Below are 17,889 nucleotides of genomic sequence, written 5' to 3' on the forward strand. Positions count from 1 at the left end.
ATTAAAGATCACTGATCGGCTGGGTGCGGTGGCTCACACCTGTAATCCCAGCACTTTGGGAGTCTGAGGCGGGTGGATCATGAGGTCAGGAGTTCGAGGCCAGCCTGACCAACATGGTGAAACCCCGTCTCTACTAAAAATACAAAAATTAGCTGGGCATGGTGGCACATGCCTGTAATCCCAGCTACTCGGGAGGCTGAGGCAAGAGAATTGTCTGAATCCCGGAGGCGGAGGTTGCAGTGAGCCGAGATTGCACCATTGCACTCCAGCCTGGGCAACAGAGCAAGACTCTGATTAAAAAAAAAAAAAAAAAGATTACAGATCAACATACTGGATATAACAATAATGACAAGTTTTGAAATATCACAAGAATTACCAAAATGTGACCTGGAGACACAAAGCGAGCACCTCCTGTTGGAAAAATGGGGCCGATAGACTTTCTTGGCACAACTTGCTTCCCACAGACTTTCAATTTGTAAAAAATGCAATATCTGTGAAGTGCAGTAAAGTGAAGCACAATAAAAAGAGGTATGCCCGTACATGGAAATTTATAGCAGCTCTGTTTGTAATCACCAAAATTGAAACAAACCAGATGTCCCTCAGTCAGTGCGTGGATAAACAAACTTTGGGACACAAACATACCATGGATACATAAGAACTCTGCAGAAAGGAATAAGCTATCGATACAAGCAGGGTCATGGATGGATGGATCTCAAAGGCATTATTCTTTGAGGCTGCTTTAAGAAGCAGCCTCAAAGATTTTGTACTGTATGATTCAATTTATATGACATTTTAGGAAAGAAAAAACTATACCAAGAACAAATCAGTAGTTGCCAGGAGCTGGTGGGGAGTGGAGGGAGAGGGTGACTACTAAGAATTAATATGAGGGGTTTTGAGGGTGAGGGACTAGTCTGTATCCTGACAATATAGTCGTGGTAGTTATATGAATCTATCCATGTGTTAAAATTCGCAGAACTGTACACCAAAAAAGGAAATTTTACTGTAAGTTAATTTAAAAATAAAATAAAATAGCAATATAAACTCATTATGTAAATGTAACGCACTTTTTATGAAAGTTAACCATATTTTCAAAAACAACAAAAAATTAGTAAGAACAGTGGCATTGTTTTACATTTTTTGTAAATCTCTTTACTGTCTAGCTTTATATAGAGAGCGGAGTTCTCATATCTCCTTCTGCATTCACTCTGTTGTGATATCACATGTCACATCGTTTCTGGAAAACCCTACTATATATACACTTGAAAGAGGATGAGAGTGAAAAAAGCCAGTAATGTCTTAGTAGTTTTAGGATCATTGTTTTGACCCTGTGGACCATCTGAAATGGTCTCAGAGATTCCCGAGGGTTTCTGAACCCACTTTGAAAACCAATGATATAACACATTGTTCCAAATTTTATTTTCATAGCATCTTGACTTTTATTTTTCTGGCTATATCCACATGTTCCCTGTGTTTACTTAATGCCTATGTTCAAATTGGCCCTTTTTTAAAACTTGCTATATCTCCTATAAATAGAAAACCAGTACCACCTTCCCATAAATAGTAAATACAAAACAAATAAGCAATGAAAAACTTAATATACATTTTAAAAGTTTATTTCTGGGCCGGGTGCGGTGGCTCACGCCTGTAATCCCAGCGCCCTGGGAGGCCAAGGCAGGCAGATCACCAGAGGTCAGGAGTTCGAGACCATCCTGGCCAACATGGTGAAACCCTGTCTCTACTAAAAGTACAAAGATTAGCCAGGCGTGATGGCAGGCACCTGTAATCCCAGTTACTAAGGAGGCTGAGGCAGGAGAATCGCTTGAACCTGAGAGGCAGAGGTTGCAGGAGCTGAGATCGTGCCACTGCACTTCAGCCTGGGCTACAGAGTGAGACTCCGTCTCAAATAAATAAATTAATTTAATTAAATTAAAAGTCTACCTGTGAACCATCTAAAATCATCTCTGCATGCCACGGTTTGGAAAACACCAATTTAGAGAAGAAATAACAATGATCATGATAGCTAATTCTGACATGCTACTTCATTTGTATCAACCCATTGAGTCCTGGCAATTACTGCTGGACAAGGCAGACAGAATTATTATAAAACCTGGGTTTCCCTTTTTTTCTTCCCCAAAAAAAAAAAAAAAAGAAAGAAAAAAAAACTTTGAAGTACAAGGAGGCTGAAGAAGTTGCTCAGTGTTCCACAGCAAGTAAATTCCGGGGCTGGAATTTGAACCCAAGCAATCTGGCTGCAGAGTCCAAGATGCTGTCTTGGCAGATAGGAAACCTGGATCTTTGTTCAAGTCCTGCCGTCAGTTGGTTCTTGGACATGTCACTGAACCTCACTGTCCTCATCAGTAAAATGAGAAAGGTGAACTAAATCAATGTTACAAGTTTAAATGTCTGGTGCCCACGGGGGCCAGATAGTTAAGGGAAAACTGGACTGAATACAATGCAATAGGGAGTGGTGGGGATTTTACATCTTGTCTGAAGAAGGCAGCTTCTATCAGTTTCAACTGTTTTTTATTTTTATTTTTTGGCCTTTATTTTATTTTATGAGAGAAGATTGAGGTCTGGGTATTTTTGCCTAAAGTTTCCCAAGTTTTAGAACACTTGGAAGGGCCCGCCATGCACATGGGCTGACTGGTTTGTGACTTCTTGACTGGATGAGCTCCTCTTGACTTAGAGGATTTATGATTAAATGAGCTGTTTTTGGACAATGGTAGAAACTAAATCCAAATTACAGAAATAGGCAGTTTAAAACAATGACGAAAGGGGATAAGGACTTAGAACGTGGCTCAACACAGCTTACATAAATATTGATTAAGAGCTGGGTTAATTGAAAAGCCAAGGTACATTAATAGAATAACAAAGTGTATTTCTTTGTGTTCCTTTTGTGTTGTATTAGAGTAAATCAGCAATATTTATCCAGTGCTAATTCTCAGTTTGCAGAGAGCTAATGTAATCATGAGATGAGCTTATTGAAATTCTTTTCTTAGACATAGAGACTTGCCCAAGAATGGTGAGTATTAGGAACTTTAGTCAGCACTTGCTCAGAATAGTAAATGCGAACATGTGATTTATGCCATTGTGTGCACAAAGTAATGTTTCCTGAGACATTTTCTATATATATGTTGGCTACTTTTTGTTTTCTTGTGGTGGGAGGGGGGTGTTGGCTTGCTGTTTCCCCCTCCTCTCCTTATCAGATTTCCTTCTATGGCATTTGACAATGTTGCAGGGCCAGTTTCTCTGTGAATCCACAGTAAAACATACTGGTGGTTTCACAATTAAGCCAAACTTGGGTTTATGGCTTATGCATGTTTATGTGAATTCCTGCATTTGTTTTTATGTGTGTGTGTGTATTCATGAAAGATCTGTTTGAGAGAGGGAGAAAAAGGGAGGACAAAACCTATAGACTGAATCATAAAAGATGGGTTTATTCATTAATGACATCATAAGGATAGTATTTTCTCTTGGTTAATATACTATTTGTTTGGAGGGTGTTGTAAGCCATCCAGAGATAGTCATGCCATTTCTTGGAAAAGATCTGAAGCAACTAGTAATTGAAATGATAATCATTTGATCAGAGAGCTATTTGAAAATAACACTCATCTACAAACTTGTCTCTTCTGGGAAACTGTATTTAGTCAAAATGTTGCCAAATTCTCTCTTTACTAATGTTGAGACTGATACACCTAATTATTTTCCAGTACATTCTAAACTTGATTTCTGGTGTCACCTGTCCAGAAGCTGTTCCCATATGCTTTGAAACAATATCTAGCCTGACTTTATTCTGACATTTAATAATCACCATGAAATAGCTATAAAATGCATGACAACTACAGATCTTTTATTTCAAGAGGATGGTGTGGTGAATCTGAGGGAAATCATCCGTTGAAATGGTACTTTGTAATGGGCCCCATTGTTTATAAAGTACTCAAATTTTTTCTTGAGCGCACGATAGAAACACAGTTTCCACTTTGTCTCCCATTTAGTGGTAGTTCATATTTAATCATGATAAGGGAAAGGATTCCATTACTAAAGTTTTACTTTTCATTTTTGATAGAGTATTTGTTACTCTGCTGCTGCCTAATAGACTTTCTTCTCAGAAGCAGCTTGGAACTCAATGAGGAAAATTGAAATTTTAGATCCTACCTTAAAACATCAGAAAAAAAAAAAAACCCTCAACCCAGGGCTTCTTATTATGTGAAGCTTACCCTAATAACCTTTTTTTGTTCGAATTGGAGAAGTGTGTGTGTGTGTGTGTGTGTGTGTGTGTGTGTGTGTGTCGGTGGGGCAGGGGGAGGAGGAAAAAGTCATGTTTGGGGAGGAGGAAAAAGTCATGTTTAACAGCAAAATTAGCCAAAATCAGTTGTGAATTCCTTTTGTTTAATAGCTTTGAGACATCTTCCTGTTGTTGTTTGTCAAAAATATTTCTAAGATTTTGTAATCTTAGGGGTTTTCACAGCCAAGCTTTCTTCAGAAATGTGAAATAAAAGAAATGAAAGAAGTCAGTTCAAGTTGAAATGTCAGATGCTTAAATAACTTAACTTAAAACCCAGTGAGATGATCTTCTTGAGCCTTTTCCAAAGAATCTTTGGGTGAAGGGGCCTCCCTTTGTTCCATGTATGGATGTCTATTAAAGATCTTGCTGAATTAATTCTGAGTCAGAAAAGTTGGTTGTTTCCTAGAAGCAATTAGAGATGCTTAACATTCAAATTTATGATCCAGAGGAGAAACTTGCATTTCAACTACTTTTCTTAAATTCAAAGACTTTTTCCTCACTCACCCTCTCACCCTCTACCCCATCTGTATTAAAAGAAAAAATCAGTTCATTTCTCAGCTTACAAAGTTTTTGAGAAACATGAGAATGTGTAAGTTTCTTTCAGTGGGAAGCACATAACATTTATGAAGTATTTCTTTTGGGATTACATCACAGTTTTATTTAATTTTTAGGACAAAAGTTAAATTCAATATTTGTGTATAAGCCAAGGGAAAATGTACCATAAACATAGGAATTTGGGGGTGAGTCAGAGTTCCAAGAATCCTAGATTTACTTAGACCATTTATGTAGAGACAGGCTCACCATTAGTCATCTAGCTTTCACTTTTTACATTTGCAATTAATTACACCTAAAAACTAGCTTTCACCCAAGTGGTCAGCTAGGTAGAGTGTGAACTTGGGCAACCAACATTAAAAATGGCTTATTAGAATTACTGTCCTATTTTTGGATACTTTCTAATTGTATAACAAACATAAAAATTATTCCTTAACTAAACAACTAGCAGTGAAAAACCATTGAAATGAAGTGAGTTACTAAAGATTCTGTGTCACCAGAATGCACACAGTCTCCTTGCATTAGGTTAAACCACTCACATGGCATTTCAGATGGGCCTTGTGGAGAGTGGATCATTTCCCTCAAACCTATAAATAACGTTTTTTGTTCTTCCCCAACCACCTCTTGTAGGATGAAGTCATTGCTGTTTCCGAAAAGGTGATTGTGAAGCTTGAAGACCTGGTCAAGTGGGTACATTCTGATTTCTCCAAGTGGAGATGTGGCTTCCACGCTGGACCAGTGAAAACTGAGGCCTTGGGAAGGAATGGACAGAAGGAAGCTCTGCTGAAGTACAGGCAGTCAACCCTAAACAGTGGACTCAACTTCAAAGACGTTCTCAAGGAGAAGGCAGACCTGGGTAAATATGACTTGTAATTTTAAATCTAATGTGTGGGCGTATATAGTAACTTTTCGGTTGAAGATTTTTCTGGAAACACTATCATTTATATATAAATGTATTTCAAATTTCTTTAACCTCAAAGGGTCCTAAGAATATGGATGGAGAGATGACTGGATGGGTAAGGGATGAGTGTTACCTGTTGGATCAAAGGACCTTTTATGTATGGACCCTTGTGCTGGGGTGATACAGTGGTTCTAAACAATTTTCAGTGTGATGTCAAGGCATACAATTTAATTAGAGCACCTAAAATTGAATTAATGAAGAGTTTAAATACTTGCTATAAGTATGTAGTATGACATCTATTAACACCATGTCCCAATTTCATGTTTTACATTGAGTGGAAAACAAACTGAGGAAAAGGGATGAGTTCCTCAATGTGGAGCAAGAGAACAATGTCAAGCCAGGGGATCCACTGGTTGGCAACCAATGGCATAGGTTTGCTTGATCTTTTAGTGTTCAGTGGTACCATCAACTATATATATATATATATATATATATATATATATATATATATATTTTTTTTTTTTTTTTTTTTTTTTTTTTTTTTTTTTGCTTCCCTCTTCCACTGTAAGTTTAAAGGAGAACTTGGGCTTTGGAGTAGTTGTGCTGATTGGTGTTTACATACTAACTCTGCTGCTTCTTAGCTGTATGGCCTTAGGCAAATAATTTAACTTCTAAGCCTCAGTTTCCCCATCTAAAAAATAGGGGAACTTTACAGGGTTATTGTGAGATGTGAGATAGAAGGGGTAGAGCACATTGACTGGCATAAAGGAGGGGCTTCATAATTAGTTCTATTGCTTTTTCTTAACACTTTCTTCTCCAGTGACATTTTGTGTCCTTTCATTGCTTTTTTTTTTTCTTCTGTTTGTATTCCCGTGTCATTCACTGATTTATTCTCCTAGCATTGCCCAAGACGAAAATTGTTGTCCTCTGATTTAGACTAGTTATTTCCTCTTTAGGCAAAGAGGAACTGCACTTTAACATATTAAGGCATCTTTTTCTTTCATTTGCGCACAATGCTGATTTTTGCAGTCCTATTTTACGCCTTAATGTGACAACTTCCTGGTTTTTTTTTTTTTAAACCCAGAACTTAACTATTACAACAAACCTAGGCAATTTATTTTAATTGGCATAAAGAGACTGAATAACACCAGTAACTGACTGTGGCTTTCATGTGACCCTGGTTTGTGATGAGCTGTGCTGTGTTTTGGGAATAGCATTAATATTTTCTTGCAGTTTGAGTTTAACTATCAACGGTTTCCTGGCATCTTTTGGTTGATGTCAGACAGTAACATTTTAGATATGGCAGCCTGATTGTCACCTGCACATTTAGAGACAATTATTAGACTAGTGGTTTTCCTTCTAAAGCCAAAGAGTTTTTTGATAATCTTCCTATATATACTGTTACACCCCCCAGTTTTGTGAACACACAATAACTAGTCTTATGACTTGCGGTAATGCTGAATAATACATCTGTTGTGTTACTTTCCTAATGTATGATCTAAGTTGTATTACCATTGTCTTATGTTTTCCTTAACATTAAAACCTTTCTTTTGTTTGTTTAATTTTGTGTGTGTGTGTTATGGAATATACTGTTACTAATAAAAAATTAAACAGGAAACCCACAGGGGACAAAAGGATGTGTAGATGGTTAAGCTTGATGTCACACATATAAACAAGAGTATTTATAGCAAGGTTTATGTTTAAAATTGTGTTTAAAATGGATAATTTATTAATGAACAGGAAAATAAGTCTAATTTCTTAATTCCACCCAAAGAAATAAAAGGTTGATCCTCTTGGATTCTAAAAAAAAAGAAGGTCCATATTCTACCTTTTTGCAGTTGATTCCAGAAGAAATTGGTTTATAGTGAATATTCACAGTACTTGCAGGTGGTTTGGCCTGGAAAATCTAGATGAGTGGTTTTTAAATTTAGTTGCTTATTAGACTCAAGAAAGAAATTTAAAAAACAATACTGATTACTGAGACCAGCTTTTCTAGATTCTTCATTCAGTAGGAGTAAGGAAAGGCCAATGAATGTGTATTGATAAAAAGGTTCCTGGCCGGGTGCGGTGGCTCACGCCTGTAATCCCAGCACTTTGGGAGGCCGAGGCAGGTGGATCACCTGAGGTCAGGAGTTCAAGACCAGCCTGGCCAACATGGTGAAACCCCATCTCTACTAAAAATAGAAAAATTAGTCACGTGTGGTGGCAGGGGCCTGTAATCTCAGCTACTTGGGAGGCTGAGGCAAGAGAATTGCTGGAACCTGGGAGGCAGAGGTTGCAGTGAGCCGAAATCATCACACCTTTGCACTCCAGCCTGGGCGACAACAGCGAGGCTCTGTCTCAAAAACAAAACAAAACAAAACAAAAAAGGCTTTTAGGTTGAGTCTGATTTTGTTTGTTTGTTTTGGTCTCATTTTGGAGACAGCTTTATGATTAGTGCTGAAGAAGGGAAAATGATCAACAGGAGAGTTGATTGGGAGGCTCTCTCCTGGGGCACAAGAAACACCATGTACTTAAAAAATTTTTAATGTAAAATACCCCTTTAAGGATAGAATTTAGGGCCTTGAAATTCTACTCAGTTGCTATGAACTGTGGGGAATTTGAGACAAATAGCTTTTGTAATTGGAATGCACACTGTGTTGTAATAATGTGGAAAGAGAAACAAAAACTTTCCTTAATGTAATGAGTTTCCATTATCTGCCTAATCTAAGGTTTGTAAGTCTACATTGTCAGGATTTATATTGAGGAGATAGGGGGTGTCATTTTCTGTACACATTCCTGTCCCCACAACTTTCTCTTCAGCCTCTTCTATAACATCAAAATATTTGTTGTCTGTACTTTTCTTTCTCCGCAGTGGTTTTCTTATCTCCTTTTCTGTTGGTCACACTGAAACCACCTCCAATACCACATTGTTAATGGAAATTCACACACTTATTAGGTTTTTCCTTCTGTAGAACCCTTCCAACTCCTCATTGTTCTTACCAAAGAAAGAAGATGAACTGTGAGATTATTTGAGGCCCCCCCCCTTTTTTTCTGGTGGAAGTAAGCAAAGAACGGAAAGATCTCACCTTTCTATGGATAAAGTAAAACTCCAACATGTTATCGTTTTTTAACTGAGTTATTTCATAATGTTGAAACATGAATAATAACAAAATAATTAGATTGGTTCTTAGAGAAGGGATTTTAAAATATAAAAGCTCATTAAAGCACTTTTCTTGCTTAGTGTTTAGGTAGAATAAGTTCGCTTTAATTCCAGTTTGTGTCACTTCCTGTCTCTCTCTGAATAGTAAAAAAAAAAAACAAGAATGTTCTCACAAATGTGTGTCTGCCAACAAATTAATACTCCACAAAGAGAAACTCTGCCCCACATGGCAGCTTCCAATAAATGCTCTGATTCAAATCACAACTCTTTCATTTTTTTTTTATCCCCTTCCCCCTTGAGGGAGCACATTTAGACAATATTTGAGGATGTCATCTTTCTGCTTTTTAAAACTCTCTAGAGTTTTCATTTAAGACTCTTAATGGTTGATGACTAAAACTACAGATCTGGATAGTGGAAAAACTAATAATCTTAAAAAACACTTCTGAAATGTGGTAAAGTGCATTCATTCTCTTCCCTCCTCTTTGTCCTTTTCAAAGAAAGAAAGTTCAATATGAAACCAATGCAAATTATGACTTTACTCAGTGAGATATTTTACCTTCTTTCAGACTGTTTCATACTGAAGTTTATAAAAAAAAAAGAAAAATAACTATGTTAAAATAGGAGGGTTAAGGAATGTATTATTCATAAGCATAATGAACACAAGAACCTGTTTTTCCAGAAGAATTGGGTTGATTAAATCATTCACCACACAAGCCTCTAGTTATTTATTTTTGTCTTTAGAATTACAGTACTTAGCTTTTATAATAAAGTGGACTTGATACCCATATTTGGTATGGCAGTTGAAAGTAGTCAAATGAAGAATTATTTCATTTTACAAAATTTTTAGTAAGTAAGGAATATAAACACTATCAGTTAAACATAGCAAACTTGCATTTTTTTATTCCTTGGGCTATAGTTTGAAAAAAAAATCAAATTATTTTATGTAACACTGATTCTTACAGAGTTCCTTTAAGCGAAGTATGAAAGCTGCAGTGTAAGCTTTATTGGCCTATAAATATGTCATTATAGTTGGACTACATTTATATGCTTTGGATTGTTGTTTAAGCCAAGAAAATATGTCTCTACAGGTTGACTTTTTATTGAAGCCCTTTGAGGCATACAACAGAATGTATTTTAGGCCAAGGTTATTAAAACAGCATTTTCATTTTTTTGCAGCAGACTCATTGTCAATTATGCTGCCACAAACTGTCTGTGGATGGGCAGTTATGAATGGTTTCATCTCCAAATGTGTCTTTAGAAAAAGAAAGAAAAGATAGAGGAGTCTGAGCTGAAACTGAGAAAAAAGACCCAAAGATTATGTGTGGGGGTCTGGCTGAATTTAATGATGGGGGTTCCCTCAGTTCAATTTCTGTTTCTAAATCTGTCCCATCAAATTGAGAAAGAGTAGCTTCCCCCTTTCTTCTGTTGCTGGGACTTTCACTGTACTTTTTGGGAGTCAACAGCATGGTGGGGTTAAAAGAGCAGAGGGTGGGCTGTCAGGAGAATCTTGGCTCTACATGTAGATCTGTCACCACTGGAAAAGTCACTGGAAGACACTGTATGATTTTTTACCTGAGTGCTCTCATGAATTTATTAGGATTTGAAGACATGCCTCTTATTGGAACAATCCTTCCTTCCTTTCTAGACTTAAATTTTATGTGTATATATTTTTTGTTTTTTATTTTTTTCAGTGAAGAGAAATAACTTTTATTAATGAGAGCAATGAATTCTTAATTCTCAGCCACAAAAAAAGATAAAATACAATGAGATTTTCAAATGTAAAATAAAATATCTGTACTCACTTCATTGCTGCAGAGATAAAGTGAAATATTATTATACAGCTCTAAGGTGACATGAAAAGAACACAACTGTTCAACCAAATGGCTCAAAGTAGGTTTAAATTTTATGTGTATATTAAAGAGTCTTTGGAAGGTATTTGTTGTTTATATTTTACTTTGGATTGCTGGTTTCACTCTGCCATTTTCCATAACACTGCAACTTGAGAAGTTTCTTAAATGATATATTGTTTATACATTCAGCTTTGTTTTGTCTAAAATGGGCAATAATATGTACCTGGCTGTTTCTCATTGGATTTTTGAGAAGACCACCTGAGAACAAATTAGTTAATATCTATGGAAACATTTGTGATACTGAAGTCTAAAGTGGTATTATTAGTACATTATTATTATCAGAAGCAGGTTCTGTATGATAGGGAGCCATGTGGTACAAGGTTAGCTTATTTGTCCCTTTTGAATTTCCCTAATCACACACACATTCTAGTAATTTAGAACAGGGTTTACTCTCATTACTGTCTCCCTCGATAGAAAACTATTATAAAAGTCCTTTAGGTTTTTGCTTGTTTATATGTATATATATAAATACATATTATATATGACTATTATTTTAATATATATTTATTTCAAATAATAAATGTATGTAATATATACCATATAACATAAACATTTTATATATTTATATATTAATATATATTTATATTTTATAAACTTTTATCCTCCTGAAAATTCTGTCAAAATAAACTGAGCCATAAGTGGCCAGTTGTATAGGATATCTCAAATACTCTTGGTTAAAAATTAGCTGTAGTTTTTGCTTGGAGATTCTGGAGGCCTCGTATTGCAAATGGTTGTTTCAGATCACTTTTGAGTTTGATATGTCAGGCAGCTTCCTGAGATGTGGACATGGGAAGGATTCTCACTTTTTGTTGAAGAAAACAATATAAATGTCTGTAAGAAGCATGCTAAATGCAGACATCTTGTCATAGAGACTTTTCACTGCTAATGAATTTACTAGGATTGGAAGACATCCTTCTTACTGGGACAATCCTTCCTTCCTTTCTAGATTTAAATTTTGTATGTATATTAAAGAGTCTTTTGAAGGTATTTGTTGCTTGGATTGCTGGCCTAAGTCTACTATTTTTCTTAACACTGCAACTTGAGAAGTTTCTTAAATAATATATTGTTGCACTATACTATTCATGAATATCATGAAGAATCATTACAGAGCAACCTTCTAACTAAAACGAATTTGGGCCAGGCGCAGTGGCTCACACCTGTAATCCCAAAACTTTGGGAGGCCAAGGCGGGTGGATCACAAGGTCAGGAGTTCAAGATCAGCCTGGACAACATAGTGAAGCCCCATCTCTACTAAAAATATAAAAATTATCCGGGCATGGTGGCATGCGCCTGTAGTCCGAGCTACTCAGGAGGCTGAGGCAGGAGAACTGCTTGAACCCAGGAGGAGGAGGTTGTAGTGAGCAGAGATCACATCACTGCACCCCAGCCTGGGCAACAGAGTGAGACTCTGTCTCAAAAAAAAATAATAATAATTTGGCCTTTATAGTATCCTTAAGTTCAACATGGAAACTAATTACATACGAGACTTATCAAAGACTTGTAAAGATACTTTCCAAAGGATTTTCTCTCTGACAATATTGTTGTGTTAACCATGCATTCGTTAAAGAATTTTATCATAGCCCAATTAACATTGGAGGAGATACTCTCCAAGTACCCACATGACTCTTCAAGAGATTGCCTCATGCCGTTATAATGTGACAACCCAAAGGACTTTTGATGGAGTACAAGAATCTGCATCCAAGATATTCAGAGTTTTAGAACAGCTTATTACCAGTATATCTTCTCACTTACTTTCTTTTTTTTTTTTTTTTTTTTTTTTTGAGACAGGGTCTCACTGCATTGCCCAGGCTGGAGTGCAGTGGTGCGATCTTGGCTCACTGTAACGTCTGCTTCCTGGGTTCAAGCAATTCTCCTGCCTCAGCCTCCCAAGTAGCTGGGATTACAGGTGCCCGCCACCATGCCCAGCTAATTTTTGTATTTTTTCAGTAGAGACGGGGTTTCACGATGTTGGCCAGGCTGGTCACAGACTCCTAAACTCAAGTGATCACCCGCCTTGGCCTCCCAAAGTGCTGGGATTACAGGTGTGAGCCACTGTGTCCAACCCAGTATGTTTTCTAAGAAACTAGGAATACATATGGTTATAACACATAGGAATAAGATTATTCATTTCATTTGAAATTTAAATTTTGGCTTGACCATCTAATTAAATAGTTGAATATTGCCTTGTAATAGTGGTAGAATGAGTGAGTAAAAGTGGCTCAAATAAGTAATATTCATTTATGCTGTCTACACTCAGCCATCTTGGCTATTCCTGCTAGAAAAGAGGTCTTTGTGAAATCTGACCAAGTCTGAGCCAATCAACAGCTGGTCGTTGATAATGCTGCCCAGGTACTTGTACTGCCATCACTCATGAAGGCACAATCCAAGTTAAGACCCTTTCATTTGGAATTACTGTTGACCTGAGGATTTTCTAGTGTTTCCTGCAGCCACGAAAGCTTCTTAGAATTCCAGGTTCATTTCTTCTTCTGATGACGGACTGAAGATGGACCATCAGCTGAAAAGAAGTTTGTAGAATTTTGGAATTTATTCCTACTTTTCCATTTGGAGATGTCAGGGCAGAAGTAGAAAAAAAGTGAAATTGGAACTTTCTGTGCTATTTTTAGTATCCAGGCTACCAGTATTTACCTCTAGGATACAATGTATGCAAAAGGAGTAATGGAGTACAAGAATCTGCATCATGCTTTTCTGAAACTCTTTATAGAATTGTCAGGCTGGAAGGGGCCTTCATGAACATTGTTTTCTCCTCTTTTTCCTTCTAACAGTCGTCAGGCCTCTCTTTTCAGTTCTTCCCTAAGATGTGCTTTCAGAATCCCTCACCATCACGGTTACTTATCTTAGGATACACTTTAGGTAATTTTTTTTTTTTTTTTTTTTGAGATGGAGTTTTGCTCTGTCACCAGGCTGGATTCGGATCCCTGCAACCTCTGCCTCCTGGGTTCAAGCAATTTCCCTGCCTCAGCCTCCCGAGTAGCTGGGACTACAGGTGCGCGCCACCACATCCGGCTAATTTTTTTGTATTTTAGTAGAGACGGGGCTTCATCGTGTTGGCCAGGATGGCCTCGATCTCCTGACCTCGTGATCTGCCCACCTTGGCCTACCAAAGTGCTGGGATTACAGGTGTGAGCCACCATGCCCAGCTGAGGTGATTTTTTTATACCATTTAACTCATTTATATTGCAGGAGCTCATTTTTACTAAGAATCCTAGAGCCAGAATAGGAGTAGATTCTAGAGAAAGGCCCCAGTGATCCATTACGCATGGCCAGAACTCTAAGGAGCTGGCTTGGCATCCTCCAGATACAACATGACATTAGCAAAACTACTGGACTCTTCTCTAGAGCTGTATGGCCTTGGCCTTTTTATAAGTAAGAGCAAAAAGGGGGAAAATATTCTGCCACTACACTCCCTGAAGTTTAGGTACCTATTTTTTTGTTTGTTTTTATACACAGTAATATTAAGTGTAGACTAGTATCTAATGAACATCGTTGTTAATATGGCAGCTACTGTGGCTCAATATCAATGTTGTGCCTTTTGAGCTTCTGTAGTTCCTGTAGTTTTTTACTCTAGCATTTAGGATAGGGCTTGCCCAAACTGATTTTTGCCTCAGTAACGGTCTACAGTTGAAGACCAGCTTGGTGTCTGAGAGTCTGTTTAAGCTATTCCAACCAAATAATATAAAAACTGCAAGTCTTTCCTAAATTTTCATATGTGATAGTTTAATCATGTTGTTCTCTTGGACTTAAGCTGTTCTTGTTTTTGTTTTGTTTTGTCTATTTTTTCTAGCAGTTTGTTTTTTTACAGCCATATCTATGATAAAAGACCATGATGGAGGCTGGGCACGGTGGCTCACGCCTATAATCCCAACACTTTGGGAGGCCAAGGCAGGTGGATCACTTGAGGTCAGGAGTTTGAGACCAGCCTGATCAACATGGTAAAACCCCGTTTCCTACTAAAAATACAAAATTAGACGGGTATGGTAGCACACATCCATAATCCCAGCTACTTGGGAGGCTGAGGCAGGAGAATCACTTGAACCCGGGAGGCGGAGGTTGCAGTGAGTCAAGATTGTACCATTGCACTCCAGCCTTGGCAACAAGAGCGAAACTTTGTCCACACCACCCCCCCACGCCCCCACAAAAAAAGACCGTGATGGATAAGACAGTGAATTCATAATTTTGTTTTAGCTTCATTAATTTGAAATGTTAATTTCCCAAAGAACTGTCTGTAGAGATTGCCATCTGATGAGAAGATAATCAAAAGATGAAAGAATAAATTCATTTATGGTCCTATTCCTTGCTATGCCTTTAGTTTCTTGCTGTGTACCTTGGATTGACTGGAACAAGTCTTATGCGGCCTTGGCTTCATACAAGCTCATAAATTTTCATTATCACTGATAGATTGCCAAACTTAGACCAGTAATTCTGTTTGCATTTGGTGATAAAAGTGGGTCTATTGTGAAGGACAAACCCAACTGATCCACCATGTTTTGTTCTTTTTTTTTGAGATGGAGGTTTGCTCTGTCACCCAGGCAGGAGTGCAGTGGTGCGATCTCTGCAGACTGCAACCTCTGCCTTCCGGGTTCAAGTGATTCTCCTGCCTCAGCCTCCCAAGTAGCTGGGATTACAGACATGTGCCACCACGCCCAGCTAATTTTTGTATTTTTAGTAGAGACGGGGTTTCACCATGTTGGCCAGGGTGATCTTGAACTCCTGACCTCGTGATCTGCCCGCCTCAGCTTCCCAAAGTGCTTGGATTATAGGCGTGAGCCACCATGCCTGGCCCGGACCATCATGGTCTTTTAAATATCTTTTGAGAATGCAACACTGACTCTGTACCTCAGATGTGCTTTTAAAGTGAGGTCTGTCTGGGCACAGTGGCTCACGCCTATAACCCCAACACTCCGGAAGGCCGAGGTGGGAGGATTGCTTGAGGCCAGGAGTTCAAGAGGAACCTGGGCAACATAGTGAGACCTGTCTCTGCAAAAAAATTTTAAAAATTAGCTGAGTTTGGTGACGCCCAACTGTAGCCCCAGCTACTCAGGAGGCTGAGGCAGGACAATCACTTATGCCCAGGAATTCAAGGTTGCAGTGAGCTAAGATGATACCACTACACTCCAGCCTGGGCAACCCACACTGCATTCCAGCCTGGCCAACACAGTGAGACCCTGTCTCCAAAAATAAATAAATAAAATAAAAATGAGGCTTGATTCAGCAGTTCCCCTTTCAGTTGGAGGTGCATGATGCTTTTATTTTGTCATAACTCTAAAATGTTTTTGTTTGCCTTCTACCTCTCACCTCATTAGCCACTGTATGATTACTGACAGTGAGCCATTATTACAGCTGCTATCATGATAGCATCACCTTGGAACACAAAGCAGATATATCCTACATGTGAATTGATGTGGTTTTTCCAGTGGGTTCTGTGAGCAGGTATCTGATTTGTGCATTTACTCTTAATACTCGGTGGTATTGACACTGATTCTTTTGAACAGTTTGTTTAATCTGTTAGAGTACTTTTAAGTCTGAAGTTCTGTTGCAACACATTAACTTTCCTAAATGTCAGATTCACTCCTCTCCTGTAACATTATGTGTTTAAGTCTGTAGTTTATGCAGGTCACTGCAGAGGAAAGCTGAGGTTTGGACTTTTAGCTTATTTTAATAAATGTATTTATTTAGGACAGACTGGAATAATAGTGGGTTTTCAAAGACTTCGTGAAGTGCTTCATGCACAGTAGGGGCTGAGCAAATAGTGCTGATGATTTCAGGCTTTTCCTAGTTGCCTCACTGTGTGTTTTCATTTGGTGTGCTTGGATGAAGTGGTATTGCTTCTTTCTTCCCTAAAACCCCAGAGCCTGTGCCTTGCCTAGAACTCTCTTCCGTTGGGCAGCCCCACTTGCTTTTTGAATTTTTAACTATTTCTATTATCTTTTACTTCTGACCTTAAATATTGGCATTCCGCTTAGGATCCCTGTTTCTTTGCAAACTTCATGCCTACGGGATAAAATACAAATGTTACAGGAGTATCCAGTGAACTTCCAGGCTCCATTTTCTTCTCTTTTTCATTAAGTAACTTTCATTATTGTTATTTTTTGTTACTACCAATGTTATCCATGTTTGTTTTAGAAAATATAGGCACTACTGACAAACAAAAAGCAGAAAAATTAATGTTGCCTATTTTCCTCCCACTCAGAAGTGCTGTTAGTATTTGTATATGTACCAATGCATATGAATGCATGTATCAGTGAGAATTTATATGGATATTATTTTTCCTCATAAAAATAAAATCTACTGTTTGGGAATCTACCTTCCCATACTTAATTTTGTACAGAGGTATTATAAATATGCCCCCATATTGTAAAATATCCTATACTGGGTTTTTTTTTCAGCTGCTGAATATTTCATTACAGAGGTGTTTCATACTTTAATTATCGTTGGGCATTTCAGCTCTTTCTGATTCCCACAAACTTTATAAAACTCTTGTAGTTATGCACATAGCCATGACTATTTCTTTATACATTTGTAGGGGGGGATCGCTGGTTCAAAGTGCACACAGAACGTTAAGACACCTATCCCCTACCTTATCTCCTCTCCTAAACCTTCTTTGCCCTAGCCTAACTAGTCTAACTGCCTGGTTTTCTTTCTCTTTAACCACATGTACTCAGTCCCCTGCCTTCCAAACTCTCCAGTGTGTTTTAAGTGGCTCATGCCTCTCTACTCGTGGAATAGCCTTTCTAGGAGTCCTACCTGTGGGAATTCTGCCTTTCGTTTAAGACTTGTTTAAGCCTCTGAAGCCCTTCTCAGCCTTCCAGCTCAGAGGAATTGCCCTGCTTTATTGAGCTCTTATCTTATCACATTTAGTGTCTCTACCACCTTATTGATCACCTTACTCTATACCTACCAATATAATGCAGTATCTTTTTTCATGTGTTTATCTTATCTTCCCAAAAAGTCTTAACTCTATAGTGTTAGCACTCAGACATCAAAGCTATACCTAGTAGGTTAAGTAAACATGCGGCTTTTATGATCAGACTTTCCTGAAATCTCTGGAGTTCTCTGTTCTTAGTCTACTTGAGACACCTAT

At 37.9% G+C, this 17,889-nt stretch overlaps 1 protein-coding gene across 1 annotated transcript in view, besides 1 other annotated feature; it reads left to right on the top strand.

Moving 5' to 3' along the window:
- The window catches only part of ARID5B (AT-rich interaction domain 5B), a 195,246-nt gene that overhangs the window by 33,017 nt on the left and 144,340 nt on the right, over window positions 1-17,889 (top strand). The window contains exon 3 of the mRNA NM_032199.3: window positions 5,468-5,693. Within this exon, the coding sequence (NP_115575.1) occupies window positions 5,468-5,693 (226 nt within the window). The remainder of the gene's footprint in view (window positions 1-5,467; window positions 5,694-17,889) is intronic.
- Window positions 5,414-5,543: an enhancer, noted in NCBI's record as "active region_3400". NCBI's record gives its function as "activates an Ori minimal core promoter by ATAC-STARR-seq in GM12878 lymphoblastoid cells {active_cell/tissue: GM12878}" and the evidence as "EXISTENCE:reporter gene assay evidence [ECO:0000049][PMID:35858748]".

The sequence above is a fragment of the Homo sapiens genome, chromosome 10, assembly GCF_000001405.40.
Source record: "Homo sapiens chromosome 10, GRCh38.p14 Primary Assembly".
NCBI classification, from domain to species: domain Eukaryota; kingdom Metazoa; phylum Chordata; class Mammalia; order Primates; family Hominidae; genus Homo; species Homo sapiens.